The sequence below is a fragment of the Homo sapiens genome, chromosome 3 (assembly GCF_000001405.40).
Source record: "Homo sapiens chromosome 3, GRCh38.p14 Primary Assembly".
Lineage (NCBI taxonomy): Eukaryota > Metazoa > Chordata > Mammalia > Primates > Hominidae > Homo > Homo sapiens.
Window position 1 is genome coordinate 113,966,003 of NC_000003.12, and position 16,362 is coordinate 113,982,364.

The 16,362-nt window shown below is 38.1% G+C and overlaps 2 protein-coding genes across 16 annotated transcripts in view; one reads left to right on the plus strand and one right to left on the minus strand.

The window, feature by feature from the left end:
* ZDHHC23 (zDHHC palmitoyltransferase 23) overlaps positions 1–13,506 on the plus strand; it is a 31,608-nt gene extending 18,102 nt beyond the window's left edge. For 2 of the 4 annotated variants that reach the window (XR_001740081.2, XM_047447886.1), the window contains one exon: positions 12,318–12,425. Coding sequence is in view for 3 of the 4 variants with exons in the window: in XM_047447886.1 (XP_047303842.1) it covers positions 12,318–12,376 (59 nt within the window). In the remaining variant the exon portion in view is untranslated. Of the gene's footprint in view, positions 1–12,317 lie in introns of all 4 variants that reach the window. The other 2 variants (XM_047447885.1, XM_006713562.4) reach the window with 1 other exon arrangement.
* The window catches only part of CCDC191 (coiled-coil domain containing 191), a 92,477-nt gene that overhangs the window by 1,866 nt on the left and 74,249 nt on the right, over positions 1–16,362 (minus strand). For all 12 annotated transcript variants that reach the window (NR_148531.3, XM_011513052.3, NM_001353767.2 and 9 more), the window contains 3 exon segments: positions 14,648–14,791; positions 12,856–13,008; positions 12,184–12,329 (listed from right to left, as the gene is read on the minus strand). Coding sequence is in view for 11 of the 12 variants with exons in the window: in XM_011513052.3 (XP_011511354.1) it covers positions 12,184–12,329; positions 12,856–13,008; positions 14,648–14,791 (443 nt within the window). In the remaining variant the exon portion in view is untranslated.

The following is a 16,362-nucleotide window of genomic DNA, read 5'->3' on the forward strand; positions in this document are numbered from 1 at the left end:
GATCTGATTATAGCATACATATTGTACCCATGCCAGGACCAGTGATGCTGGCAAGGGATCCAGAAACCACAACCCTCAACGCAAAAATGATGGAAAATTGCGTGCAGAATGTGCCAAAGTTACAGGCATTGAGGCCTCAGTGCGTAGACATATTTTAAAAGCCTGCTGGTAACCTGACCTCCAACAGCAGCAATAACAACAAAGAACCAGTCTTGAATATCAGTTGAGAAAAAATACCCTAACATCAGGTTCTGGAAACATGGTATGGAAGACTGTTTAAGTGAGTGTCTGTGCTGTCACAGGGAAGCATGCAATGGCCTTTTAGGATTTATTAGTGTCCACCACAGCTGAACACTAGGGGCATCAAGGTAAGCCAGGTACCGTCTGCCCCGGGAGAGGCTGAAACAGGTGACCAGAGTTTCCATACAGTGGGAAGGTACAGCAGTGGAGAGCAGCACAGAGGACTACCCAGTCTGGTGGTGAGGAGCAGACCTTTTTGAAGATGATGTCTGAACTGAATTTTTGTCAGGCAAAGAAAAGGCTTTCCTAGAGGAGAGCACATCTTGAGTAAAGGCAACGAAGCGAGAATAGCATGCCGTGGTGTGTGTGTGGAGTTACAGTGTTGAAACGAAGTGCAGAGTAGTTAAGCTTATATTTTCACAACTATAGGCAGAGATGGGATTTGTTCTGGCCTCTTGACCATCTGAGGGAGTCCCAGAATGCACATCAGTCCTCATTAATTTTATGGCTGTTGGTTAATATTTTTGATAATGCTGATTTTTGTTGGTGGAGGTACTGCTTTAAAAAAAGGCATGGCTGGGTGCGGTGGGTCACACCTGTAATCCCAGCACTTTGGGAGGTTGAGGCGGGTGACTCATTTGAGGTCAGGAGTTCAAGACTAGCCTGGCCAACATGGTGAAACCCCATCTCTACTAAAAATACAAAAATTAGCCCGGCATGGTGGCAGGCACCTGTAATCCCAGCTACTTGGGAGGCTGAGGCACGAGAATCACTTGAACCTGGGAGGTGGAGGTTGCAGTGAGCCGAGATCAAGCCATGGCATTCCAGCCTGGGTAACAGAGTGAGACTCTTGTCTCAAAAAAAGAAAAAAAGAAAAAAAGAAAAAGGCTCCAAGGAATGGATTTACTTCATTGCTTGCTTTTATCCATTCAGTCCACCATTTACAGCTTCCTGTGCTCGGCTGTGGGCACACTCCCAGTCCTTGACCCTGTCTCCCATTCTCAGCCATTCACATCTCTCTTTTGGCTACACTCCTGTTCTCTGACGTCTGCATTTTAGCTCCTGCTGTTCTACCCTAACTGAAAAATGTTCTCCCCTTTGGGTGAAATCTTCCTAGATCATCCTTGCCTACATTTCTCTTTCTTTCCCTACATTTCTCTTTCTTTCCCTACATTTCTCTTTCTTTCCCTGAACTCCTAAAACATATTCATGATCACTGGTTTGGCACTTATTTATAGCCTATCTATAGCTATCTTTTTATAATATTTTTATTGATACATAATATACATATTTTGGGGGTACATGTAATTTTATACATTCATGTAATGTGTAAAGATCAAATCAGGGTATTTGGGATATCCATCACCTTAAATATTTATCTTTTATTTACCATGGGGACATTCAAGTTATTCTCTTCTGGTTATTTTGAAATGCACAATAGGTTATTATTAACTATAGTCATCCTACTGATCTATTGAACATTAGGCCTTATTGCTTCTATCTAACTGTATATTGTACCCATTAATCAACCTCTCTTCATCCACCTCCCAACCTCTACCCTTTCCAGCCTCTGGTAACCACCAATGTATTCTCTATCTTCATGAGATTCACATTTTTTAGCTCTCCCACATGAGTAAGAACATGTATTTGTCTTTCTGTGCTTGACTTATTTCACTTAACACAGTGACCTCCAGTTCTATCCATGTTGCTGCAAATGACAGGATTTCATTCTTTTTCATTACTAATATTCCATTTTGTGTATATACCATATTTTCTTTATGCATTTATCCACTGATGGGTGCTCAGGTTGATTCCATATTTTGGCTATTGTGAACAGTGCTGTAATAATCACGGACATGCAAATATCTCTTGGATGTATTGATTTCCTTTCTTTTGGAGATATACCTATTAGTGGAATTGCTGGATCATATGGTAGTTCTAATTTTAGTTTTTTCAGGAATCTCCATTCTGTTCTCTATAATGGCTGTACTAATTTACACTCCCACCAACACTGTGTGAGGGTTTCCCTTTCTCCATATCCTCACCAGCATCTGTTATTCACTGTCTTTGATAAAAGCCATTTTACTGGCATAAGATGATATCGCATTGTGGTTTTGATTTGGATTTCTCTGATAATTAGTGATGCTGAGCATTTTATCATACACTTTTTGGCCACTTGTATATCTTTTGAGAAATGTCTATTTAGATCTTCCCCCCCCTTTTTTTTTTAGGGCGTCACTCTGTCGCCCAGGCTGGACTGTAGCAGTGTGATGTTGGTTCACTTCTACCTTCACCTCCTGGACTCAAGAGATCCTTTACACCTCAGCCTCCCCAGTAGCTGGGACTACAGGCACATGTCATGACTCCTGGCTAATAGTTTTTTGTTTTTTTTTTTTTGGTAGAGATGGGGTTTTGCCATGTTGCCCAGGCTGGTCTTGAACTCCTTGACTCAAACTATCCACCCACCTTAGCCTCCCAAAGTGTTGGGATTATAGATGTGAGCCACTATAATGGACTTGCCCATTTTTAAATTGGATTTTTTTTTGCTATTGTTTGAGTTCCTTACATATTCTAGTTATTAATCCCTTGTCAGATGGCATTTTAGTCCACTTGTGTTGCTATAAAGGAACACCTGAGGCTGGGTAATTTATTTAAAAAAAGAGGTTTATTGGACTTGCAGTTTTGCCAGCTGTACAAGAAGTATGGCACTAGCATCTGTTTCTAATGAGGACTTCAGGCTGCTTCCAGTCATGATGGAAGGGGAGCTATCATGTGCAGAGATCCAATGGCAAGAGAGGAAAGCAAAGAAAAAGGGGGAGGGAGGTGCCAGGTTCTTTTTAACAACCAGCTCTTCCGTAACTAATAGAGTGAGAATGCACTCATTTACAGAGGATGGCATTAAGCCATTCATTAAGCAATCCATCTCCATGACCCAAATACCTCCCATTAGACTCCACTTCCGTCCAACATTGAGGATCAGATTTCAACATGAGGTGCAGGGGACAAACATCCAAACTATACAGACAGTTTGCAAATACTCTCTCTCTCTTTCTGTGGGTTATCTCTTCACTTGATTGTTTCCTTTGCTGTGCAGAAACTTTTTAGCTTGATGTAATCCCAGTTGTCTATTTTTGCTTTGGTTGTCTGTGCTTTTGAGGTCTTACACAAAAAATCTTTGGCCAGACCAGTGGCCTGGAGCATTGTCTCAATGTTTTCTTCTAGTAGTCTCATAGTTTCTGGACTTAGATTTAAATCTGTAACCCATTTGGATTTGATTTTTGTGTATGGTGAGAGAAAGGGGTCTCATTTCATTCTTCTGCATATAGTTCTCCTGTTTTTCCAGCACCATTTATTAAAAGAGTGTCCTTTCCCCATTTTATGTTCTTGGCACTTTTGTCAAAGATGAGTTGGTTGTAAATGTGTGGATTTAAATCTGGGTTCTCTATTCTATTTCATTGGTCTATATGCCTGTTTTTATGCCAGTACCAAGCTGTTTTGGTTACTATAGCTTTGTAGTAAATTTTGAAGTCAGGTAGTGTGATACCTAGAGCTTTGTTCTTTTTGCTTAGTGTTGCTTTGGCTATTCAGGGTCTTCTGTGGTTTCATATAAATATTAGGAATTTTTTTTCTATTTCCGTGAAGAATGTTGTTGGTATTTTGATAGAGATTGCATTGAATCTGTAAATTGCTTTGGGTAGTATTGCCATTTTAACTATAAGAAGTCTTCCAGTGCAGGAGCATGGCATATCTTTCTATATGTTTGTGTCCTCTTCAATTTCTTTCCTCAGTGTTTTATAGTTCTCAGTATATAGATCTTTCACTTCCTTGGTTAAAGTGGTTCCCAGGTATTTTATTTTCTTTGTAGCTAGTTAAGGTGGGATTGTTTTCTTCTTTTTCAGATTGTTCACTGTTGGTGTATATATTAATAAATGCTGCTGATTTTTGAATGTTGATTTTGTATGCTGCAACTTTACTGAATTTGTTTGTCAGATCTAACAGTTTTTTTTGGTGGAGTCTTTAGGTTTTTCTAAGTATAAGAGCATGTCATCCGTAAACAAGGCTAATTTAGCTTCTTCCTTTTCAATTTGGATACATTTTTTTTAAAGACAGGGTTTCTCTGTCACCCAGGCTGGTCTTGAACCCTTGGCCTCAAGTGATCCTTCCATAGTGGCCTCCCAAAGCCCTGGGATTACAGCCATGAGCCATCACATCTGGCCTGGATGCCCTTATTTTTTTCTCTTGTCTAACTGCTCTGGCAAGGACTTGCAGTATTATATTGAATAAAAGTGCTGAAAGTGGGCATTTTGGTCCTGGCCAGGATGTTGATTTTTCTTTTTTATTATACTTTAAGTTTTAGGGTACATGTGCACAACATGCAGGTTTGTTACATATGTATACATGTGTCATGTTGGTGTGCTGCACCCATTAACTCATCATTTAACATTAGGTATATCTCCTAATGCTATCCCTCCCCGTCCCCCCACCCCACAGCAGACCCCGGTGTGTGATGTTCCCCTTCCTGTGTCCATGTGTTCTCATTGTCCAATTCCCACCTATGAGTGAGAACATGCGGTGTTTGGGTTTTTGTCCTTGCGATAGTTTGCTGAGAATGACGGTTTCCAGCTTCATCCATGTCCCTACAAAGGACATGAACTCATCATTTTTTATGGCTGCTTAGTATTCCATGGTGTATATGTGCCACATTTTCTTAATCCAGTCTATCATTGTTGGACATTTGGGTTGGTTCCAAGTCTTTGCTATTGTGAATAGTGCCGCAATAAACATGTGTGCATGTGTCTTTATAGCAGCATGATTTATAATCCTTTGGGTATATACCCAGTAACGGGATGGGTGGGTCAAATGGTATTTCTAGTTCTAGATCCCTGAGGAATCACCACACTGATTTCCACAATGATTGAACTAGTTTACAGTCCCACCAACAGTGTAAAAGTGTTCCTATTTCTCCACATCCTCTCCAGCACCTGTTGTTTCCTGACTTTTTAATGATCGCCATTCTAACTGGTGTGAGATGGTATCTCATTGTGGTTTTGATTTGCATTTCTCTGATGGCCAGTGATGATGAGCATTTTTTCTTGTGTCTTTTGGCTGCATAAATGTCTTCTTTTGAGAAGTGTCTGTTCATACAGATGTTGAATTTTATTGAATGCCTTTTTGGACATCTCTTGAAATAATTATATGGCTTTTGTTCTTGGTTCTGTTAATGTGATGTATCATGTTTATTGATTTGCATAAGTTGAACCATCCTTGGATCCCTGGGATAAATCCCACTTGATCATGGTGAATGTTCTTTTCAACGTGTTATTGAATTTGGTTTGCCGGTATTTGGTTGAAGATTTTGCATTTGTGTTCATCAGGGATATGTAGTTTTCTTTTTTCTTATCATGTCCTTGTTTGGTTTTGGTATCAGGCTAATGCTGGCCTGATAGAATAAGTATGGAAGTATTCCCTCCTCTTCAGTTTTTTTTTGAAGAAATTGAGTAGAATTTGTATTAGTTCTTCTTTAAAAGTTTGGTACAATTTAGCAGTTTGAAGCCATTAGGACCTGGGCTTTTCTTTTAGGTGAGACTTTTTAATTACAGCTTCAATCTCATTACTTATTAGTGGTTTGTTGAGGTTTTCTGTTTCTTCATCATTCAATCTTGGTAGGTTTTATCTGTCTAGAAATTTATCCATTTCTTCTATGTTTTCCAGTTTATTGATATATAGGTGTTCATAATAGTCTCTAGTGATTCTTTGTATTTTTGATGTCTCAGTTGTTATGTCTCCTTTTTCATTTCTGATTTTGAGTCAGAAAAAGTCTCAATTCATTTATTTCTGCTTAGATTTATATTATTTCCTTTCTTCTAATAATTTGGGGTTTGGTTTGTTCTTGCTTTTCTATATTTCCTTGAGGAGCATAGTTGACTTATTTTTTGAAGTCTGTCAACTTTTTTGATGTGTTTATTGCTATAAACTTCTCTCTTAAAAGAAGTTACTGCTTTTACTATAACCTATAGATTTTGATCTATGATATTTCCATTTTCATTGGTTTCAAGAAATTTTTAAATTTTTTCTTAATTTCTTCATTGACCCATTGGTTGTTCAGGAGCATGTTGTTTAATTTCCTTCTATCTGTGTAGCTTCTGAAGTTCCTCTTACTGATTCCTAATTTTATTCTATTGTGGTCAGAATAGATACTTGATACAATTTCTGTTTTTTGAATTTGTTGAGAGTTGTTTTGTGGCCTAAGATATGGTCTTATTATGGAGGATGTTCCATGTGCTGATAAAAAGAATGTGTATTCTTCAACAGCTGGATAAAATATTCTTTAAATGTCAGACCTATTTGGCCTGGTTTCTGGTTTAAGTTTGATGTTTCCTTGCTGATTTTCTTCTGGATAATTTGTCCACTACTGAGAGTGGCGTGTTGAAGTCCCCTATGATTGTATTGCAGTTATCTCTCCCTTTATTGTTTGCTTTATATACTTGGGTGCTTGATGTTGAGTGCATAGATATTTATAATTGTTATATCCTCTTGCTGAATTGACCTCTTTATCATTATATAATGACCTTTCTTTATTTCTCTTTATAGTCTTTGACTTGTAGTCAGTTTTATCTGATATAAGTATAGCTATTCCTGCTGTGTTTTTGGTTTCTACTTGCTTGGAATGTCTTTTTCTATCTCTTTCAGTCTATGTATGTCTTTACAGGTGAAGTAGGTGTCTTATAGGCAGCATACAGTTGGATCTTGTTTCTTTATCCATCAGCCACTCTATGTCTTTTAATTGGAGAACTGAGTCCATTTATATTCAGTTATTGATAAGTAAGGACTTACTATGGCAATTTTTTCTTTCCTTGTTTGCTGGTTGTTTTGTAACTCCTGTCTTCCTTTCTTACTGTTTTCCCTTGTGGCAAAACGATTTTCTCAGGTAGTATGTTTTAATTTCTTGCCTTTTCTTTTTAGAAATCCCCCAACATTTTGACTTTTTCTTGTTTTAGTTTCCATGTTTTATATTACCTCTTAGCAGGCTGCTGTAGCTATTACTGTTTTTGCTAGATGTGTCTTTCTGGCTTCATACTAGAGTTATGAGTTGATTGCACACCACAATTACAGTATTAGAGTATTCTGGGTTTGTTCATGTACTTAATTTTATCAGTAGGTTTTCTACTGTCAACTGTTTTCTTTTTGTGTTAGTGTTTTTTTCTTTCAGATTGAAGAACTCCCTTTAACATTTCTTGTAAGATGGGTCTGGTGGTGGTGAATTCTCTCAGCATTTGTTTTTCTGAGAAAAACTTTCTCTATCCTTCATATTTGAAAGATGGCTTTGCTGGATACAGTATTCTTGGATGGCAGGTTTTTTTTTTTTCTTTTTTCTTTCAGCACTTTGAAAATCTCATCCTGCTGTCTCCTGGCCTATACCGTTTCTGCTGAGAAGTCTGTTGCCAGATGAATTGGAGCTTCATTATATGTTATTTGCCTCTTTTCTCCTATTGCTTTTAGGATCCTCTTTGTCCTTGACGTTTGAGAGTTTAGGTCAAATCTGTTTGGTTTCTCTGACTTTCCTATACGTGGATATGTCTTTGTCAAGTTTTGGAAAGTTTCCTATTTTTATTTCTTTGGATAAGCTTTCTACCCCTTGTTCTCATTCAAGTCCCCCTTCAACACCAGTAATTTTTAGATATGATCTTCTGAGGTAATTTTCTATATCTTGTAGGCTGTCTTCATTCCTTTTCTTTTTTCTTTTCTCTTCTGATAGCATATTTTCAAGTGGCTTGTCTTTGGGCTCACTAATTCTTTCCACTGCTTGATCCATTTGGCTGTTGAAAACATCTAATGATTTTTCAGTTCAGCAAATATATTTCTCAGTTCCAAGATTTGTTTGACTTTTTAAATCTTTGTTAAATTTATCTGAAAAATTTCTGAATTGCTTTTCTTTGTTATCTTGAAGATCACTGGGTTTCCTTAAAACTGCTATTTTGAATGTTGGTTAGAGTTTACATATTGCCTTCTCATTAGGGTTAGTCACTGGTTCCTTGATTTATCTATTTGGGAAGGTCATGGTTCCCCATTTGCTGTTTTTTGTTTTTTTTTTTTGGAGATGGAGTCTTGCTCAAGCACCTAGGCTGGAGTGCAGTGGCATGATCTCAGCTCACTGCAACCTCCACCTCCCAGGTTCAAGCCATTCTCCTGCCTCAGGCTTCCGAGTAGGTGGGACTACAGATGCACACCACCATGCCTGGCTAATTTTTGTATTTTTAGTAGAGAGGGGGTTTCACCATGTTGGCCAGGCTGGTGTCGAATTCCTCACCTCAGGTGATCTGCCCACCTTGGCCTCCCAAAGTGCTGGGATTAAGGTATGAGCCACCACGCCCGGCCAACTCGCTGTTGTTTCTTGTGGATATATGTCTATGCCTTTGCACTGAAGGATTATTTATTTATTTCAGTCTTCTGTGTCTGGCTTGTTTGGTTTTCAGTGGGTATGTTTGATTAGAGATTGTTTGTAATTTACCTGTTTAATTTCTTTTTTGTTCTCCTGCTATGTGGCTGCCTCCTTTTTGGCACTAGATGGTGCTTTAATCCCTGGTTCATCTTGGCTCTAGTAAACCTTTCTCTTGCTCTCTCAATCTCTCTCTTTCTCTCTAATCTTTTATGTTTTCTACTAAATTATGAGCACCAGGGGCCATGTTATTAGGTATTTTTTTATGCTTGGTAAATATGTCTTGATAATTACATGTGGGTGTATTGTATAATAAGTATGATTTAAGTCACCAAGGTAAGGGTTCTTAAGCTGGGTCCCATAAACTCCTTGACATGTTGTGTAAAGTTGTATGTTATATGCATGTATGCATTTTCTGGGGTGTAGGTCTGTGACTTTCATTACTACCTACTTCATGTTCATACTGTGGTTAAGAACTATGGTAGCAAGACAATATCAGACATATTATAAATACTGATCCAGCTCAGCTAGATTTATAAAATTATCCGGAAGTGATACAGATATGTAAGATTACAAGTTATGTTCTTATTGAGAATCATCTTTCTCGATGTTATTGCAGCTTAAAGGTCAGGCTTAAGACCAATAGATGTCTCTCCTTCCTTTCATCCACAGCTCTTCTATATGGTATTATTTCATTCATATAAAATTGAATATGAACTCTGAATATCAATTTTTTAATGTTAAAGCCCCTTTTAAAGACTGGTGACCTTAAATATTAGTGTCATTCCTGCAATAAAGTTCATCTATTCATACATTTACCAAATATTTACTGTGTTACCTATGTACTGAGCGCTGTCATATACTGAGAACACAGTAATGAGCAAGATGTGGTGCTTCCACTCTGTTTAACATGTAAACAGTAAATTATATACTTTCAGAGAGTCTTAAGTGCTGTGAAGGAAGTAGGGCAGTTTAATGGATAGACAGTGATGCAAGTAGGGTGGTTAGGGAGGTGACATTTAAGCAGAGAGCTAAATGATGAGATCAGGTTATGTGAAAGCTCTGAAGCAGAAGTGAGCTTTGTTTGTCTAAGAAACATTATAGGAGGCCAGTGGGGCCAGAACATGGTAAACAAAAAGCAAAGTGGGAAGAGATGAAATCACAGCAATGCTTTTATATCAAGTAGACATTGGCTGAGAATTTGGTTCTTGTTGATTGCATGGATTCCTACATTGATTTCACAACTTCAAATCCTAAATAGGATGACTATCTTACTATTTTATAGTCTAAAAATGAGGCCAGGCAAGATGGCTCACACCTGTAATCCTAGCACTTTGGGAGGCCGAGGTGGGCAGATTCCTTGAGGCTAGAGTTTGAGATCAGCCTGGGCAGCATGGTAAAAAACGCTGTCTCTACTAAAAATACAAAAATTAGCTGGGCATGGCAGTACATGCCGTTAATCCCAGCTACTTGGGAGGCTGAGGCATGAGAATCGCTTGAACCCAGGAGGCGGAGGTTGCAGTGAGCTGAGATCCTACTACTGCACTCCAGCCTGGGTGACAGAGTAAGACTTTGTCTCAGGGTAAAAAAAAAAACAAAACAAAACACAAAAACAAACAAAAAAGACAGAGGGAGAATTAGAAAAATGGGGAGGAAGACTGATGTAGCAAGAAGAGAATGTTTTAGGGTCAAAAAACCTAATCTGGAGTTCAGGGAGCAACCTTTTGTTATCTTTATACCTTGACAATTCACCTACCTGCCTGTTGCTTATTTCTTTGCCTGAAAAATGGAAATAATGACATCTCCCCACATCCAAGTTATTACTGCTATCAGATGAGATGGTTTGTGCAAAAGCCCCAAATGAATCTCTCAGCCTGTATATAGTGGCTGAGAAACAGAAAGAAAACATAGGCAGGCAAAAAGGATGTTTAATAATAATATATTCACAATGACACTAAACTAAAAAAAAAAAAAAGGTTAGTTATTATTTTGGGCCAAGCAGTGCATTGAGTGAGTTACTATAGTACCCTGTTTAGTCTTCACAGCAATCCATAAGATAGATAGATAGGTTCTGTTGCTATCCTCATTTTATGAGAGAGGAACAGGGAGGCTTTGAAAGGTTATTTGTTCAGGGTCACATAGATATTGAGTCCTAAACTTCAAACTCTAAAGCTAAATCATTTATCCAAAGGGAGGTCCTCTGAATGCCCTCACTTATTGCTTATTTGTTTTAATTTAAACAAAACTATAATCAACTTGCTTATCTGTTTTCCCACTCCACTGATTTCCAGTATCTGTGAATTAAACAAGGACAAACAGGTTTTGGTGGAGGTAGGCACCCTCATGGCAATAAGATAGGAACACTATTACAAGGAACAGAAATAAACACCCATGCACAAACATGCAAATAAAAAGAAAACAGCACCAGTCAACATGGTGAAACCCTGTTTCTACTAAAAAGACAAAAATTAGCCGGGTGTCGTGGTGTGTGCCTGTAATCCTAGCTACTTGGCGGGCTGAGGCATGAGAATTGCGTGAACCCAGGAGGCAGAGGTTGCAGTATCATGCCACTGCACTTCAGCCCGGGCAACAGAGTAATGTTGAGAAAAGGGGCATTTTTATACACCCACACAACAGTCTTCATACCTCAAAAAAGCTGGAGGCATCACTGAATACACCCGGCACACTAACTGATGCTCATAATGACACCAAATCACCACTCTTAAAGGGAAGTGCATAATGAAATTAAGAACATTCTGTCCAAATGCTTAAAATTAGAAAACAAATATAAAACTTACTTATACAGAATACCTTATTTCTCAAAGACAACTGGATTAAATAAAACATAACTGTATTTTAAATATTAATATGGCATATAGTATGATTCCATGTATATAAAGTTCCAAACCAGGAAAAACTATAGCATTGAAGGCTGCATACTTAGGAGAAAAGTAAAAAGAAAAGCAAATGTTCATTGTAAATGTCAGGAGAGTAGTTTAAGAGAGACTTGGGAAGGAGCCTGTGCGACAGCAATGTTCAACGTTTTGACCTCAGTGGTGGTAACAAAGGGTGTCCACTTTACAGTCATTCGTTAAGCTGTATTTGTATGATTTAAGCACTTTTCTATATTTGTCGTACATTTCACAATAAATGATGTTGAAAGAGAAACTGAACTTAAAAAATAAAACTATATTTGACTAACAAAGAATACAGTACTTTTGCTTAGGTGTGTTTCATATAGGTCACATCATTTTATTCTCTTGGCAGTTTCCGTGAGGTAGAAAGGGCAGGCCTCCTCCTCCTCCCACTTCTCTTTTTAAAGATGGAACCCTGGAGTCCCAGGGGGTTTATTACATTGCTGGTGAGCCGGGACTCCCACCCCTGACTGGTGTTTCCCCGCTCTCCTAGCCTCCAGCTCATCTCTGCAGACACATTGTAGGAGCAGAATATATTGCTGAGCAATTGTGAAGTCAGAGAGTGAATTTTCCTCACTATCAAAACCTCACCTGTCACTGTGCTCCGCTGCAATCTCATGCTTGCCCTGAGAATCGATCTTCACCTCCCTGACCATGTTAAACCAGGCCCTGAAAATCTTCTTTTGAAGAAAATGTACACAAAATTTTCTTACTTCTTCCTGCAGATCAATCACGTACTGGGGATGAAGACAGAAATAAAAGTGAGACAAAAAATATCAGTTGACAAAGAATTAGAGCAAATAAACAGCACAAAAGACAGAAATGAAACAAAAGAAACAAATGACACTAGAGACATACAAAGAAAAGGATAACCTGGAAGCCAAGAAAATATCCTCTATAATGTATCCTAAAAATGGTAAGAGAACACATGAATAGAAACAGTTATAAGATTGAAGGGGTAAGTTTCTAAATCACTTGAGCACTGTGAGACAAGAAACAAGAAATGACTATAAAAACAAAAGCTGATGGAATGATAACTTACAGTTTATACACACTCCGTGAAACAAACACAGGCTTAGGATTTTACACTAATAAAACACTGATTTACCATTTTCACATTTATTTCAAAGCAGTGAATGGGATTGACTACTCTTTTGTTCTTGAAAAAACATAATGACCCTGGACATTCTGGATTTCATTTAGTTTTCTTAAATAGAATTGAGCAATGAGATGTATTTAAGGTACCCTTCCCTATGTCCTTACCTGTAGCCAGCTCTGGATGACTCTCTTAAGCAGTATTTGGGAATAAAATTGATCAGCCTGGGCCATCTTTCTAGCCAGACTTTCCTGACTACGCTGGAACCACGTCAGCATGTATTTCCTCTGCAGGAACAAAGAGTAATGTTCTTCTGCCACCTGGACAATTTTTTAAATGAGAAATATTATTCCTTAAATTTTAAATCATTTAAACAAACACATCACCTTTGGAAATGATGCTATAAAACACATTTAGGCAGTCGGTAGAGAATAATCTGAAGGTACATGCAGCCTGTGTCCTAAAAGCTTTGACTGTTGACCTATTCTATGGAGGTTATAGATTCACATCATGCATGGCCTTTCAATGCCAGCTCCCTGAAGACCACAGTGATTTGCTGGTTATGGAAATGGAACAACCAACCTCTAAGCCATTACTTCACTTCCCCTGAGTTTTGGAGTGGGTAGCTGGCAACATTCTCAATTTGCTCTCCTGGAGCTTGGACAGCAACTCCACAACAAACCTCTCTTTCTCATGACTTAACCACTGTCTAATTGAGGAAATGCCAATACTTTCAATTAGTGTTGTGGAATGAGCTGTCACCAGCATTGAAATTTAGACATTATCAATAAACCACAAAACCATCTGATAGAAAATAACATGAATAATTTAATGTCTTTTCAACTGAGTATCATTCTATCAAAATAAACATACAAATCAGAATTTATAGATTTTTAAAAGTAACTGTTATATTCTTTTAAGAGGCAAGAGGGGAAAAGCCTTCTCTCTTAGTCCTCTCTAAACAGCGACACATTTTTCTAAGCCTTGTCTAGATATCTGGCACTGTGAATGTGATTGACTCAAGTGAGTCTCTTGGCAGTCATATTTATTGGCCAAAATGACCACCACGGAGGTCTCTGTGGCACCTGAGATTTCTGCCTGTCCTGGACTCATCTCAGCAGACTGAGAGCCAAAAGATGAGATAACATTTTATCTATTTTGAATTTTTAATCATTTAGTTGCATGCACTGGATAAATTTGTTAGGGAAATTTTAGAAATTTCTGCGGTGTCTGATTTCATATATCTCTCTGCAGTAGAGTGAATTACTGTTCTGTTCTCTCTAATAGAATTATACACCCATACCCTTTGCAATGTGATTTCACAGTTCCTCCCTGTAGAGTGGATGGAGCTCTTTCTCTCCTCAATGACTTTGAGCTTGGCCCTTTGATTTGCTTTGGCCAATGGAATGTGGACATAATACAAGCAACGGGTTTACATAATTTGGTTTGGCCTTTTGTAGCTCTGACAGTTGCCAGGTGAAAAGCATGCCCTGAGTAGCTGCTGTAACCAGAATGAGAGGCTTGGGGAGAGACCTGAACTCAATCCACAACTGGCCCACAGACATATGAGTGAGAAATAAATACTTGAGCTGTAAGCCACTGATATTTGGGGGTTGTCTGTTATGCAACTTTATCACAGGCAGAAACCTGACTAATGTACCTTATGGTAATAACTTTTCCCTTACTCAAACTGAGAGAAGCTTCTATTCATCTTACCTTGGGGGGATCTCTAATAAAACATTTTCTCTCATTTTTTCCAACCTATTCAATTACAAAAGTCCTTCTCTACCTTAAAAGACCAAATCAAAAATTGTATCCAAAACAAATACACACATTCAATTAATTTATCTTTCTGGCTTTAAATCACCAAACCCTACCCTCCCCCAAGCTTAACTGGGCATCCATCCTATTTGGAAAAGTCCATTTTCTAATCTGGGGGATAACAGTGGGACAGTGTACCTGGATGTTTTGTTTGCTTTGCATTCTCAATCTCTTCCAAGGCTCTAGACCTTTTTTCCTTAGCAAGACCCTTTCATAATGTTCTTTGGCTATTGCTTCCAGCTGCTGGTTCCTCTTAATTCTCTTCTGCTTCTCAAGTTCTTTCTGGAAAAGATTAAAAAGCAAAATGCTATGATCAAAAAACGAATGAGTTTCATTTCAATGAAAAGCTAATGAATTTAATTTGAACATGTAACCATTGAATGGTGTGTTAATCATGATAACAGAGCTCTGGATAATAGGGCTTTTTCTTTAAAAAAAAGGAAATAATTCTGCTAAGAGGGTCAGGAGAAGCTGGTCATGAGTCTACAAGAATCAGGGCTATGCATATTCGTGGATTTATTCAGTATTGTTCACAGAAATAATTTCTCTCTCACCAAGTAACTAAAAGGTAAAACATCTAGTTAGGAGAGCAATCAGGATTTTCCCCCTCATTATATGAAAAACCCAGCCATACAGCCACTTCATTTAAACTATGGGATAGAGATTTAATGATACTCCATTAAAAGTCTGGAAGAATATTCTTACTAGTATTTTTCTTTTTAAGTGAAGAACAATAAGTCCAGAGGCAAGTTAAAGATAGTTGATCATCATTAAGCTACCTTCCCTCTTCTAAGAAGGAAAAAGATGAACTATTCCTGGTAATACACTGAGAAAAGACACTCCATGACCCTCAAAGAACTGCACCCCTCAGGGGTGTGACCAAGAAAGATGACAAAAACTTAATGATCGACCCTATAGATATCATTATTTCCTTTTTTCTCTTTTAATAAAAATAGCTTATTGTAAAGGTGAGAGAAAAAGAAATCTACCCAGAAAGGGGGAGTGGGAGCAAGTGACACCTGCAGTGAAAGACACAAGAGCAACAAAGACTGAAGACTGCTTTCATAGTCGTCATCTTTGCAGCATAAATACAAAAACATTTAATTTAAGCTGATTTCCTTTACTTCATACGATTTCACATTAGGAAAAGGGCAGTGGTGAACTGGCTGATCCTGGCAAGCTACTTAATGTGCCTGAGCCTTCTGTGAGAGAAACATTACAGAGAGAGCAATGGAACATTTCTAATATGGAAGGAAGAATTGCTCTAATTTTCCAATACAAACTGCCTATTTCTGTGAAAGCTCTGAAAAATGAAATGTCCATATTCTCTTAGCCATTAAACCAAAACAAGCTTTATACTCTTTATTTCAGGCACTTGAGATACTTGTTGAATGAAATGGCCAGAGAGAAAATTTACAACAATTTTCTCATGCATAGTAAGAGGAAGCTGAGGGTTAAGTGGGGAGGAAAACAGAAACTGACCCTTCCACATCCACTGAAATGTCAGTGTAGCATTAAGGCAGCAGCTGCATCTTGCAGAGAGACATCTAATGCAGATAATAACCTTTGGAGAAGCCCTCAGGCTCAGACAAAAGAACTTGTTCCCATGCAGAGATAAGTTATGGTGTAACTATCCTCCTAGAATAATTACTGGCTGGTGTTAATCAGCTCCAAAAGGAAAATTATTTTCAGCTGAATTGTGGGGAAAACCAGACTTTTTCAAAGTCTACACTTCCATGGAAAAATATAAAGAAAAACATGAGTTCTGCTTGAGTCAAAATGTTGTATTCTTACATAGCAATTTAATTCAAATATGTATCTCCTCCCTCTATTAAGGGTTCCTCGATAGAACT